The sequence below is a fragment of the Homo sapiens genome, chromosome 1 (genome assembly GCF_000001405.40).
Source record: "Homo sapiens chromosome 1, GRCh38.p14 Primary Assembly".
Taxonomy (NCBI): Eukaryota; Metazoa; Chordata; class Mammalia; order Primates; family Hominidae; genus Homo; species Homo sapiens.
Window position 1 is genome coordinate 215,593,548 of NC_000001.11, and position 13,433 is coordinate 215,606,980.

The 13,433-nt window shown below is 35.3% G+C and overlaps 1 protein-coding gene across 5 annotated transcripts in view; it reads left to right on the plus strand.

The window, feature by feature from the left end:
• The window catches only part of KCTD3 (potassium channel tetramerization domain containing 3), a 54,504-nt gene that overhangs the window by 26,244 nt on the left and 14,827 nt on the right, over positions 1-13,433 (plus strand). For all 5 annotated transcript variants that reach the window (NM_001319295.2, NM_016121.5, NM_001319294.2 and 2 more), the window contains 4 exons: positions 1,809-1,924; positions 8,320-8,407; positions 8,538-8,654; positions 10,585-10,755. In NM_001319295.2, the coding sequence (NP_001306224.1) occupies positions 1,809-1,924; positions 8,320-8,407; positions 8,538-8,654; positions 10,585-10,755 (492 nt within the window). The remainder of the gene's footprint in view (positions 1-1,808; positions 1,925-8,319; positions 8,408-8,537; positions 8,655-10,584; positions 10,756-13,433) is intronic.

Consider the following 13,433-nt stretch of genomic DNA (forward strand, 5'->3'; position numbering starts at 1 on the left):
AAATCAGTAATCTTTCTGGCTTATGCTTTTAAAGCATGTTATATTTGCATTTAGTTGCTTTGTTTTTCCCATGAGTTCTTCAAGGTTTCATGCATTTTTTTTCTCAGCTAAATGCTGACGAAGTTGTCTGTATTGGCACAGGTACTTTTTAAAAATAAACTGATACTTGAAGCAGCCAAAGATCTACATAAAACAGTATTGTAGAGGTGAGACTTATTTCCCAGCATTATTAGATAAAAATATATTTCCCATAAAGTGTTTTTCAAATGATTAAGATAATGCTATTTAAGTGCTAGAATTGGAATACAACTTTTTTTTTTTTTTTTTTTTTGAGACAGTGTCTTGCTCTGTCACCCAGGCTGGAGTGCAGTGGTATGGTCTCGGCTCACTGTAACCTCTGCCTGTGGGTTTAAGCAATTCTCCTGCCACAGCCTCCCCAGTAGCTGGGATTACAGGCGTGTGCTACCATACCCAGCTAATTTTTGTATTTTTAGTAGAGATGGGGTTTCAGTGTGTTGCCCAGGCTGGTCTTGAACTCCTGACCTCAAGTGATCCACCCGCCCTGGCCTCCCAAAGTGCTGGGATTGCAGGCATGAGCCATCATGCCCGGCCGATTATAACATTTTTAAGCTCAAGTGATCATTGAAACATTTAGCTTAGACCCTATTTCGTAGTTGAGATAAGAACCAAAAAAGTGGCAAACAAAGGTACTCTGAGAGCCAGGATCCCAACCCTGGTTCTCCTGACTCCTAGTGCAGTACTCTGCTAAAGAGAGACAAGTGTATAAGGCCAATATGCCGCACCAAGGTGAGCCTAGAATTCTCTGCTTAGGCATTGCTGGGTCTTTTGCTACTGATGTGTGATAGGTGCTGCTTACAACCTCTCTCACCTACACTTACTCTTCTGTTTGCTCTGATTCCCTGAGCTTGCCCATATTCAGTCTCCCAATTTGATGGACTCCTATTAACCTTTAAAAACTCCAACTCAGATGGCTTCTTTTCTAAGATATATTTTCAACCCCCTTTCCATACCCTTTTTACCCCATAGATACTATTATACCCTGTGCATCCTTCTGTTATTATTGTATCAAATTATAATTGGTTGCAGTTTTTTCTCTACTAAAGTGTAAGTTCTTAGTAATGTCTTGTCTTCTCGTGTTTTTTAATCCTAAAGCCTGATATAGTGTCTTTTGAATTAATTAAATGGAGATTGCAGTGCTGGAACACATGGGGTTTAAAAATAAGCTCTGAGTAAAAGGCCCGAATGTTTGTTTTTAGTATCATGTGACTTCTTGCTGCTTTTTTCTCCTTTTTGCTTATTTCCAGAATTTAGACACATTCTAGATAGTTAAGGCTGCCAAGTCTGTGTGTTCAGATCACTAGTTCTTAAATATCGGGTCCATGAGCAAGCTGCATATAACTCACCTATGGATTTTGTAACAATACAGTGGGTTTTCTGATTTAGTGAGTCTGGCATGGATCCCAGGATCCTTTTTGTTTTGTTTTGTTTATTTTAAATCTATCAATCAGGTTATTTTGATGATCAGCTGAGGTTAGGAACCAAGCTTCAGGATAAGGTGTTATACAGCAGTATGAGATGGCTTGGAGCAGACTCTTCCTTGCTTTAGTAGTTCTGTAAGCTGCTTAAGAGCTTGTGAGTTTCTTATTTCTAGTCCCCAACACGTATAGCACATAGTTTGTAGTAATGAGAATATAAATTAGTCACCTTTAAGATGTTTTTAATCCAGGTTTTGATTAATTCTAAAAATGGTGACTGATTAACCTTTTTATTTTTTATTGTCATTTAAGGAGTGTTCAGCCTGGGTGTTCCTGTAGATGCTCTCTTCTTTATTGGTAACCAGTTGGTGGCCACGAGTCATACAGGGAAAGTGGGAGTGTGGAATGCTGTCACTCAGCACTGGCAGGTTAGTTTAAAGCATATTACAGAAGTGAAAATATTTCTGAAATGTATGCTGATTATGTATTTTTTTTTTCCTTGTAGAATTCGTACTGTTTCTGGTTTTGGTTATACAAATATTGAATAAATGTAGTGGTAAATTTTTTTGCTAGATGCATATTTGAGCATATTTTCAAGAGTTTAAGTTACTTTGGAAAATAAGTGAGTTTTTTAAACTGTGGTTTTGCATTTCTCCATTTATTTTAAATGTTCGAAGTTCTATGCCTTGAGCATGGTAGTCCAGGCAAATTTTATTTCCAGAATAGGAGCACAGATCTGTGTGAAAACCCATAATCTGTTCAGAGATGATAGCATGCTAAATACTCTCAAGTACTTGAGAGGAATAAGAAAGAGATAAGACTTTAAAAAGGTTAATACCTGATTCTTAAAGGAAAGAGGAAAAAATTAAGGACTTTAAGCAGGGAGTGACATAATCAGATCCATGTTTTAGAAAGATAACAGTGGTTGCTAAAATGAAAAGTGGACTGGAGGTCAGGAGGGAATTTACTACAGCAATCCAGCAATCAAGAAGCAGAGCACCTCAACTAATGGCAGTGGTGGTCGAGGTGGCAAAGATGAGTACATTTGAAGAATATTTCATAGACCTTCCTAAAATGACAGGTCTGCTGTCTGATTGATGTGAGAAATTAAAGGAAGAGAAATGTATTTCTAATTTTGGGTTTCTAGTTTGACAATCCAGTAGCTAGTAGTATTTTGAATTGATAGGAAACATAGGAAGAGAAGCAGAGAGGCTGGTGGGTAGGGTGAAGAATTATTAGATTGATTAATATGTTTACTTTGAGATCCCTATGGTTGTTCAAGTGTAGATGTTAAGTATATAGTTGGAAGTACTCCTTTGGAATTTGGGAAAGAAGAAAGGGTGAGAAATATTTGGAGTCCATAATATTTATGTGATAAAAAATTAATAAGATTTTCCATTGAGTGGGTATATAGAAAGAAACAAAAGTCAAAATTAGAACTCTGGGGGAACATTAGCATTTAAGGGGACAGGATAGACAACCAAGAGCCAAAGGGACACATTATATGATGGAGAAATGACATTAATTTTGGCAGTAGATATCATTTGCAAATATATATTAGTTAGGTGTTGGTGGAAGAAAGCTAGGTTGCAGGAAATGAGGAAGTAAAAGATCAGAGAAGAGAGACAGCAAATTCAAATACCTTTCAAGAAGTTTGGTGGTGAAGGAAAGCAGAGAATCCAAGTGATAGCTTAAGGATCAAGGCTGGTTTGAAAAAAAAGATAATTGGTGCTTTATTTTTCCTCTAGGTTAGGACAGGCTTGAGCACACTTGTAGCTAGAGAGGAGAGTTGCCAGAAGGACCTGAAGACTGAAAGAATGGAGATTATTTCCGGTCCCATAAAAGTCAAGAGTGTATATGGGATCTACAGCACAGCTAGAAAGGTTTGACCCAACAGGGAGTAGAGACATTTCTTTCTCTGTGACAGAAGGGTAAGGAAGGAGTAAAGAGAAAGACGTTGAAGAATATTATCAAATACTGCAGAGATTAATCGTACATTTGCAGTAGACCTGGGATCCCATGTAGTTCTTTAGTTACATAATCAAGGTAGATTTTAAGTATTTGAGTCAAATGAACCAGGTTTGTATGTAATCTTAAAAGTTTTTTGCAAAATCATCAGGACAGTTTCAATAAAATATTAATGAAAATGTTATAAAAGCGTTGACTCTGATTTGGGTAAGAAAAGTAAAAAAAAAAAAAAAGAAATGTTTCAGTTTCTTGTTTCCTTTTTTTGTTTAATTCCACCCCCTCGCCCACACACACAGAATTACGTTACAAAAGAATATTAATAAGGAATTAATTGGTATTGTCAAATAGGTAGCCTAGGCTGTTACATAGCCTAATAGCAATTTTTAGGCACTGCTTCCCAAGTTGATATTTTAAATTTAGATTTATATTGGAAACATAGGTTATACATGTTTCATTCTCATATCAACGTAGACAGCTTTGGAAGTTGGCTCTAGAAAGGCATTATGTACTTTACTTCCTAAAGAATCAGATAACTCTGTGTGTATTCTGAGAAATAAGAGATCTTCAGCCATAGTACCATCTGAGTGATAGCCTAGCCTCTAAATACACAGTGGAGGCTGAGTTTGGGGAGGAAATATTGGTTCTGGGAACAAGAATTCAAAGTGAATTTCTGTGGTCTGATGGGCTAGGCTGGACAAGAATTTGGGAGACTTGTTTGATTTAGCTTCTCTCTTTCCTGTTGTGAGGCACCTGTAGCACTGATGTTAGAAGCACACTTTTTCTGTGTGTGTGATAGGTTTACAGACCTCTGCATATTAGGAATAGGAATAAGGCAGGCATCCTAGGAATCCTAGGCCCACATTTTGTTGGGGAGAGAGGGGATTGACTTTTCAGTATTGTCTTGACTGCTGTCTTAACTGTGGTCTGTTTGCTTACTTACAGAATTTATAGTAAGAAATATGAGATACTTACTTAGATTTAGACTTTCTAAATTTATATATAGAAATACTAGATACAAATATTGAAACAATGTATATTGTTTATACTAAGTATTAAGTTAATTGACTAGTTTGTTTATACACACTTTCATACCACATACCAAAGTAAAGGCTCTGGGATCTGGGATTTTAGCAAAAGTAGGAGGCATGATTTCATGGGACAGTAGAAATTGAGCCTCCTACAAAAATCTGAAGTTTTAAGTTTCTCAGTCCCTGAGAAGACTGGGAAAAGTTTGCCCAGTAATCTTGGAACAAGAAAGTTTGATGTGTGTTTGGTGTCTTGGAATGGGAAAAGGAGATGCAAGAGGAAACCATTAGAAATTGAAACCAACATATTCAAATTAGGAGTGAATTGAAGCACAAAGACTTGCCTTTGTTCTATGAGAACTCCAATTTGAGAAACTGATCTAGGACTATTGACATTTCTAGATACAGATATGACACCAGTTAGAACACTTTCTCAGAAGAGAGCACACAAGAATCCTGTAGAAAGAGTAATTTCTGCTAAAATAACCTCCCAAAACTTATAAACTTCACATGGAAACAAATAACGAAAAGTCATTAAACAAGAAAAAATTTGCAATCCCCAAATTGGAAATAATGGAACAATTAGAAAGCTGCTGTATTGAAGGAATAGGACAAATCAGAAAATGGAGGGAAATAAAATACTGAAAATTAAAAGGTCATTGAAAAAAAATTTTTAATTTTATTTAATGGTTAAATAGAAGCGCAGCTAAAAGAAAATTAGTAAATTGACAGACACGTCTGAGAAAATCATTTCCAGTTGAGCCAAGAGTGAGATAGAAAATATGAAAAAGAAGGAAAAAGTGAGAAAGCATTTCAGATAGGAACAGACTAGAGGAGCCATATTGAAAAAGATAACAACTGCTAACATTTTGGAGAAATGAAAATGGGCATGAATTTATTGATTAAAGAAATGTACCAAGTCTTGGCAGCCTGAATGTTTAAATGTGCTATAATAAAAGATAAATTATGATAAAAAGTATTCATAGAATAGTGACAGTTTGCCTGTCATTAGACTTTGATCAGATTTCTCATCACCAGTAGTAGACACCAGAAGACGACAACGGGCATTCTCCAAATGGTAGAGAAAGTAACTTTCAGCCTAGGTTTTCATACACAGCAAAACTATCATTCAAACCTGAATGAGAAGGGTTTTTTTTCAGAGAGAATTTTTGAAAGGACTACTAAAGAAAAATGCCTTTTGAGAAGAACGTTATATTTGAAGGGGAAGAAATGGAATGCATTAAGCAGTGATTAGGAAAGATGTTGGTAAATACGATGGTAAATTTAGATAAGTGATTATTTAAAAAGTAATGGACGAAGGTTAAAACATCCTGTAAAAAATAATGATAAGTTTACAGGTATAGAGATTGTAGTTAAAAGATTCTAGGGGCCTTATATGGGAAGATAGACTGGTATTTTAAAACTGTAAATTTAAATTTACATGTAGAAATTAGTGGTAATCACTGTGTGCTACCTTATAAGAGAAAAATCCACTTCCATTTTATATTTGTGACCACATGACTGAACCATGCATACTAATCAGTATGGTTTCTTGGATTCTTGCCATGAAGTTGTTAGGACGAAGAAGAGGAGGCCACACAGTGGCTGCTTCCTTGCTTGTGCTGGGAGAGAAGAACTCAGCAGTTGTAACTCACTGTAACTCTGCTTATCCTCTGCTTTCTCTGTTTTCCCGTATGGAGGGGTAGACATGGAAAGAAAGGCAGATCATGATTAAAGGTTACAGAAGGAGAAGTAGCAAGGCTTTAATCCTAGAGCCCATCCTCCCAGAGAATAAATGGTAAAAATGTTTGCCTTTGTGCCTTGGGAAGCGCTAGGCTCCTGCTGCTCTTTCATTGAAAAAAAAAAAAAAAAAAGAATGTATCCAAAGGGAGAAGAATCTCATGGCCTTATCTGTCCCCATTTTCCTGCCATGAAGAATCTGGGGCAGGAGTTGAAGCCCTTTCCTTTAGTGCTAGAACTAAAATGATTTAGCTAACTTGAGTAAGAAAATTGGTTAGTGGTGTGTAAAGCAGTCTCCCCTCCATCCTTTAGACATCTTTACTGATATCACTGAAAAGTACTCAATGTTTTCCTGGTATAAAATGTTTTGGCATTGGCTTTAATTAAAAGCCTGACCTCAGGATAGGGCATGATGATTGAGTTCTTTGAGATATTTCTTGTGTAACTCATAACTGCATGACATTGAGAGGGTACAGAAATTAGGATTATATACAGGAAGAGCTTAGAGGAATGATTATTTCCAAGTTTTAGTTATTTCTGTTTTTAATTAGAATGAACCTAGATTCTGTGCTTTTTTTACTTGCTCTTCAGATATTCCCTTTCCCCTTGCCCTACCTAACTCATAGTTGACTTCAGTCTTCAAGCTTCACTTCCTCTGTGAACCTTCCTTGATCTTTGCTCTTCACCCACCAGCACTGAGATGGCAGTTCTTCCCCTCTCTCCTGTGATTGTATTGTAGTCTATTTTAGTGCCTGTCACACTATAATTGTCTGTTATTTTTCTTTCTCACAAGTTACCAGCTCCTAGAGAGCAAGGGGATACCTCACATCCCTTATCTCTAGTTCATTGTTTGTTTTCTTGGATAATATGTGGTACATAAAAAGTACTTAAATGTTAAGCAGATAATGTTTAGATTTTAACTTTTCAAATGAAAGCCAGGTATAGTATATGAAAAGTAAAAGTCCCTTAACATTTTTAACTTTTAAATTATTGGAAATCTTTTAGACTTGTATGCAAAACTTGGTGTCTTAGTAATTCAAATGTCATCTGTGAAGAAGCTTAACAGGCTTGTCTGGCCTGGCTGTAAACAGGGAAGATTCATTTTGATGAATAGTAGAATATCACTCTAGTAAAATAGTATTGCAACTATCCTAGCAAACACATTTTTTTTTTTTTTTGGATACCAAGTCTCACTCTGTTGCCCAGGCTGGAGTGCAGTGGCACAATCCCCGCTCACCGCAACCTCTGCCTCCCAGGTTCGAGCAATTCTCCTGCCTCAGCCTCCCGAGCAGCCGGGATTACTGGCATGCGCCACTACGCCCAGCTAATTTTGTATATTTAGTAGAGACAGGGTTTCACCGTGTTAGCTAGGCTGATTTCGAATTCCTGACCTCTGGTGATCTGCCTGCCTCGGCAGGTTTCTTTTAGCACAAATATGGGAAGGTATTAATTTGTAAACTAGATTGATTTTCCTGGAAAAACTAATTTTTTTATTCCTATACTTTAAAAAAATAAATACAAATGAGACTTTGTTTCCCTTGCCATTTCCTAGAAAAGAAGTAACCTTTAGCAAGGAGAATGAAAAATAGAGAATACCACCTTTTCAGAGAAATAATAAATTATCAAGGGAGCAAGTACTTTCTGGAAATCAGTTGCTTTGTTTACTAGTTCTGATTCTGTCACTTGCTTACTGTGTAACTTTGGACAGGTCATTTAATCTCTTGTATGAGAAAGGGAAAAGAGAGGGACCTGGTCAGACTCGGCCTTCCAGTTCTAGTGGGCTGCAATCTAGTGATCACATGCAAAAAAAGAGGAGACAACCAATCGAAATTGAGAAAGGAAAGTACTGCTGTGGGAAATACAATTTAAAAAAAATATTTTGAAGGAAGTATATTGATGGTTCTCCTCTGTAGCATGTTTGTGTATATGTGTGTGCACGCGTGCACCTAAAGAAAGTTTATTTCCTAAGCCCTACTAAAATTGGATATTGGTTGCCTCTTTACCAGAAGAATCAAAGTTTTGAGGAAATTGACCAGAAAATAGAAATTATAATTACTATCTAACATCTGATAATACTCTCACTACATCAGGTTCAAGATGTTGTTCCTATAACTAGTTATGACACTGCTGGATCATTCCTTCTGCTTGGATGTAACAATGGATCAATATATTACATAGGTAAGTGTTCAGTCACTTAAAATGCTCCTGCTTAATGTAATTTTTTAAATGAGAACAAGAAAACATTACCTTTCAGTTTTAAATAGATATGCTATTTATTTTAATGCTGTTTAAAATTTTTATGTTTTAGATATGCAGAAGTTCCCCTTGCGAATGAAAGATAATGATCTTCTTGTAACTGAACTGTATCATGATCCTTCAAATGATGCTATTACTGCTCTGAGTGTTTACCTCACACCCAAAACAAGTTAGTACATGGCCAATTATATACATTCTTGACTTTTTATCTTTTTATTCATTAGTTTATTATGTGACTAGGTCAAATTAAACTGGTTTATTTCTTTTTGAGAACTGCAGTGCCTAAGGATTTCATCTCTACTAAGTCTAAAATTTGTATTCAGTTTTATACTGAAGTCAAACATGACCAGTAAACAAACATAATTTGAGGTGGAAAATTGGAACTCCCCTTACGCTGAATTGCATTTGTTGAGCCATATTATTATAATGTTAGCTGAAATTTCAAAAAAAAAAAAAATTCTGCACATTTGTCTTCCTATTAAAATAACTAATTTTTCACTTAAAAATTAGGAGCTTTTTAAAAAATAAAAAGTTCTTAGACTACTGCTGGAAACTAAGCTTATTTTCTTGGGAATTTAAAAATTTAAGCTGTAGAAAAAAGGCATTTTATAACTTTCAGTGCATTTTAGAGGCCATTGCAATAAAAGTAACAGACTAGTTCTGTAAAGTAGTAAGAATTTTTGTATTCTGGAGTAAAAGATAAGCACAAATGGGAAATTTAAAATTTATCTGTAATGAAAGGAGTTCTAAGAAACAATTTGTATTCAGTAATACTAATAGGTTTGGATGTGCTACTTATATAAGTCATCATTTCATTTAAGTTATTAAAAGAAACCATAATTTTTAGTATGAAAGAAATATTCAAGAGTATACCTATGAATTTGACTGAAACCATAGTAGGACTTAAATTGTATTGCTCTAGAAATAGGGTTTAGTAAACCACGGATTTCTAGCCAAGCTGGCTCTTTTTGATACCACTGTCTTTGGATGTTTTTATGCCACAATGACAGAATTGAGAGGTTGTGACAGAGACAGTGTGGCATGCAGAGTTTAAAATGTTTACTACTTGGCCCCTTACGGAAAGTGTACCAACCCCTGCTCTAGAATGAGCTGTGGATTTTTTTTTTAAATCTAGTTAAAAGGCAGGCATAAAACTGGGAAAGTTTTACAAATCAAAGCACTTCTTTTGTAGTGGCAGGGGGATTTTAAGGCATGAAAAATGGAGTCATCTTTCTGGTTCTAGGAGGTGTTTTTCATGACATGCTTTTTTTCCTTTGATTCAAGTATTTTCAGATGAATCAGTTAGTAAAACTAGAACAGCCAGTAAAGCTAAGATGTTCTCTATCCATGAAGCTTTTAAGAGTATAGGTCACTGAATTTTTTCCTATCTAAATTTGCAATGGGGTCTGGGCACTTTTTGAAAAAAAGAAAACAAAAGACACAGCTGAACCTTAGATGATTAGAAGAAACAACATATTTTAAGTATGATGTAAGCAATGTAATGGGTATGTTTATTCCCTAGCACAGTGTTTTGAAACTTAAATAGTATATTTAATGCTTGATTATTTGAGAATGATTTAGTATTGTAGTTTAAGTAAAGCAGATGGTAATTCTAGGCTAGACATAATAAGGAATATTGCTTTTGGAATACTATGCTGTTTCAGTAGTGTTCTTGGCATGGCAGATTTATGAATTCTTTAAACTATGTTGAGTACCTGCGGTGTCTCAGGCACTCTGTGAGGTGACAGATAAAAAGATGATTATGATTCAGTCTTTGTCAATAAGGAATAGAAGTAGCTAGACATAGAAATAAGTACAGAATTAGTGTGTTATAATTACTGTGATAGAACCTAATAGTGCAAGGCAGGAGGTGAATAGTTACGTCTTGGAGTGAGGGTTAGGAAAAGATTTATCAAGGAAATAATGATTTTAAGATGACCGGAGAAGTCTTAAGATTTTTTTTTTTACTGAACTGGATTTGGGGCTGATATAAACAGTGAATCCAGCTCTGCCTATTTTATCATAGGGAAGCTTTGCGAGGGTAGCTTTTTTATTATCGTTCCATAATGTATCACCTGTCAACTCTTGACTTTATATAGGTGTCAGTGGTAACTGGATCGAGATCGCCTATGGTACGAGCTCTGGAGCAGTACGAGTGATTGTACAACACCCAGAGACAGTTGGGTCAGGTCCTCAGCTTTTTCAGACTTTCACAGTTCACCGAAGTCCCGTAACAAAAATCATGCTATCAGAGAAGCATCTTGTATCAGGTAAAATGATTTCATTATACTGGTAAGGAACTTGGCTCTGTGTGTTATTTTCATTAAAAGAATGAAAACGCAGTGTTTATGTGAGAAAAATATACTAAAAGAAGTACTAGAAAAGTTTAATGACTGAAGAAATTATGATTGTCTTTTAAAGATTTCTTTGAGCTGGTCGTGGTGGCTCATGCCTATAAATCCTAGCAGTTTAGGAGGCCAAGGCAGGTGGATTGGTTTAGCCCAGGAGTTGAAGACTAGCCTGGGCAACATGGTGAAACCCCACCTCTACCAAAAAAGAGGAAAACAAAAAAAAGATGTTTTTTATTTTACCTGGTTTTAATATACTTAAATTTAGGAGATGTGATTTTTTTTTTTTTTTTTGCTCTCTTGGCATATCTTATTGCAAAATATTTATTATGACCCTGCTAAGAGGAATTTTTATTAAATTTTTCAAGTTTTACTTTTAATATAAATTGGGTTGATTATATTATGGTTTAATGCTAAAACTGTAGATTTAAATGTGTATTTTGATATTTTGTCATCTCAAAAATAATAAAAATTACAATTGTAGAGATTATTTGAAGAAAATAAGCTTTTCTTGGGTTTGTAGTTCTTCATAATATAAAATTTTTAATTAAATATTAATTGGATACATAAAAAATTAAATACTAATTTTCAAGTTTAACGAATAGTACTTTCTGATTACAAAGTAAAATTCTATTGAAGAAATTCATTGTGTATGGAAGATGATTTCTAAAAGGCTTTGTGAAAATTGCATTGTGAGTTGGGTGTGTCAGTAAAGCTTGCTTTCTAGAGGAGTCTTACATTAACTCCTTTTGTAGAGCAGTTCTTGCCCAACTTAAAATTTTTACAAACATGGTTTTCATGTGTCAGATTTGTTTTTGTGAAGGCTGGCTAGAAGATAATGCATCTTTTGTGAAAGATGTAGTGAAAGTTTCTCAATCTAATTAAACACCATGTGGAGCTGAAATTCAGTCCATAGCTGAATGATTATGCTTTTATTGAATGTGTAATTGTTTGTGGTATAAGTATGCCTTGCTAAAACAGTCTCTGTTAGGTTTTCATAAAACATTACTCCCCTGCCCCACTGAGGAGTTTCTAACTCTTGCTGGTTCCTCATCTTTTGCCCAGTTGCTGAGTGTTGGATTGCCCTTGAGCTCTTTCCTGGACTCTGTATTCTTTATCTGCACTTTCCTAGTTATTTGAATAGTAATTATATGTCAGTGGTTCCCAAACTTTCCTCCACCTGTGACCATCCAAAGAGTTCCAAACCCTGTATATCCAGTGTCTGGATCTCTGGTTGTATGTTTAATAGGCATCTCAAATTTAAGTTGGACAAAATAAAACTTAATGATTTCTCCCTCAAAAGCCATCTTAGTATACAGTATCACCATCTACTTATCTACTCAAGCTGAAAATCTAGGAATCACCCTTGATTTCTCCCTTTCTTTCACCTCCCACATAGTACAATTCATCAGTAAGTCCTGTTGGTTTTGCTGCCACATTATGTCACAAATCCAGTCACTTTTCATTGCTGTCAGTCTAGTGTCTCACGTCATCATCCTTTCTCCCCTAGATGACTGTAGTAACTTCTCAACTTTTCCCTCTCTATGGTACATGTTCCACACAGCAGCCAGAAGCATCTTTTAGAAACACAAACGAAGTTTGATTCCTGATGGCTTCTAATTGTATTTAGAATAAATTTAAATTTCTACCATAGCCTGTATGGCTTTTCTTGTTCTAGATTCTACCTACCTTTAAAATTTCTTCCCAATCCCATGTCACTTTTCTCATTGCTGATAACACTCTAACCTGTTGGCTTTTCTATTTCTTAAAAATGCCTTCGAACTTTTGTGTTTGTTCTTTTTATTTGAAATGGTTTGCCCATAGGTATTTGTTTGACTGCATTCTTGTCATTCTGGTGCCGTTTCAAAGCCCTTCTCAATGAGTGCCCCTTGGCCACCTGCTTTAAATTAAATTAGCCAAACCTCTGTCCAACAATAACTTTCTCTAACGGTACCTTGCTTTGTGTTCTTCATAGCTTTATCACTTATTCATTTATTTGCTTGTTTATTATCTCTATCTCTTCTAGAAAATTCTCCAATAGCAGAAACTTTGTTGTGTTCTCAGCACTTAGCATAATTCTGACACGTAAAAGATGCTGAATAAATGTTATGAAATAAGGCAATTCAGTTCTCTGAGAAAATGGGCCGTTTTGAAGGGTTATTGTGATGTTTAGATGATAATGTATAGAGATACTCTGTAATAATTGCTATTATTTTGGTGGTTATAATGTTATTGTGGGATGTGATACCAAGGAACTACTTTGTAAAACTTGCATTTTAACATCAGATATTTCATGTAGGTTTGAAACTTTTGTAAGTTTGTCAAGAGAAATATCCTTTTTAACAAAAAATCTGGAGTATTTTGTGTATACTCAGTTATGTTATTCTGCCACCTGGTGGATATTAACACATATGTAATGACATTGTTTTCCCTATAGTGCATTTTAATCCCTTAAAGAAAAACTTTGGATAATGACTAATATTAGCAAAATTGACGTAATTGTCCAATTGAATCAACTAAAAATATTTAAATTATTTTTCTGAATCCTAGTAAGCTTAGTAGTGAAATCAGGAAATGATTTCCCGTGAAACTAAATAGCC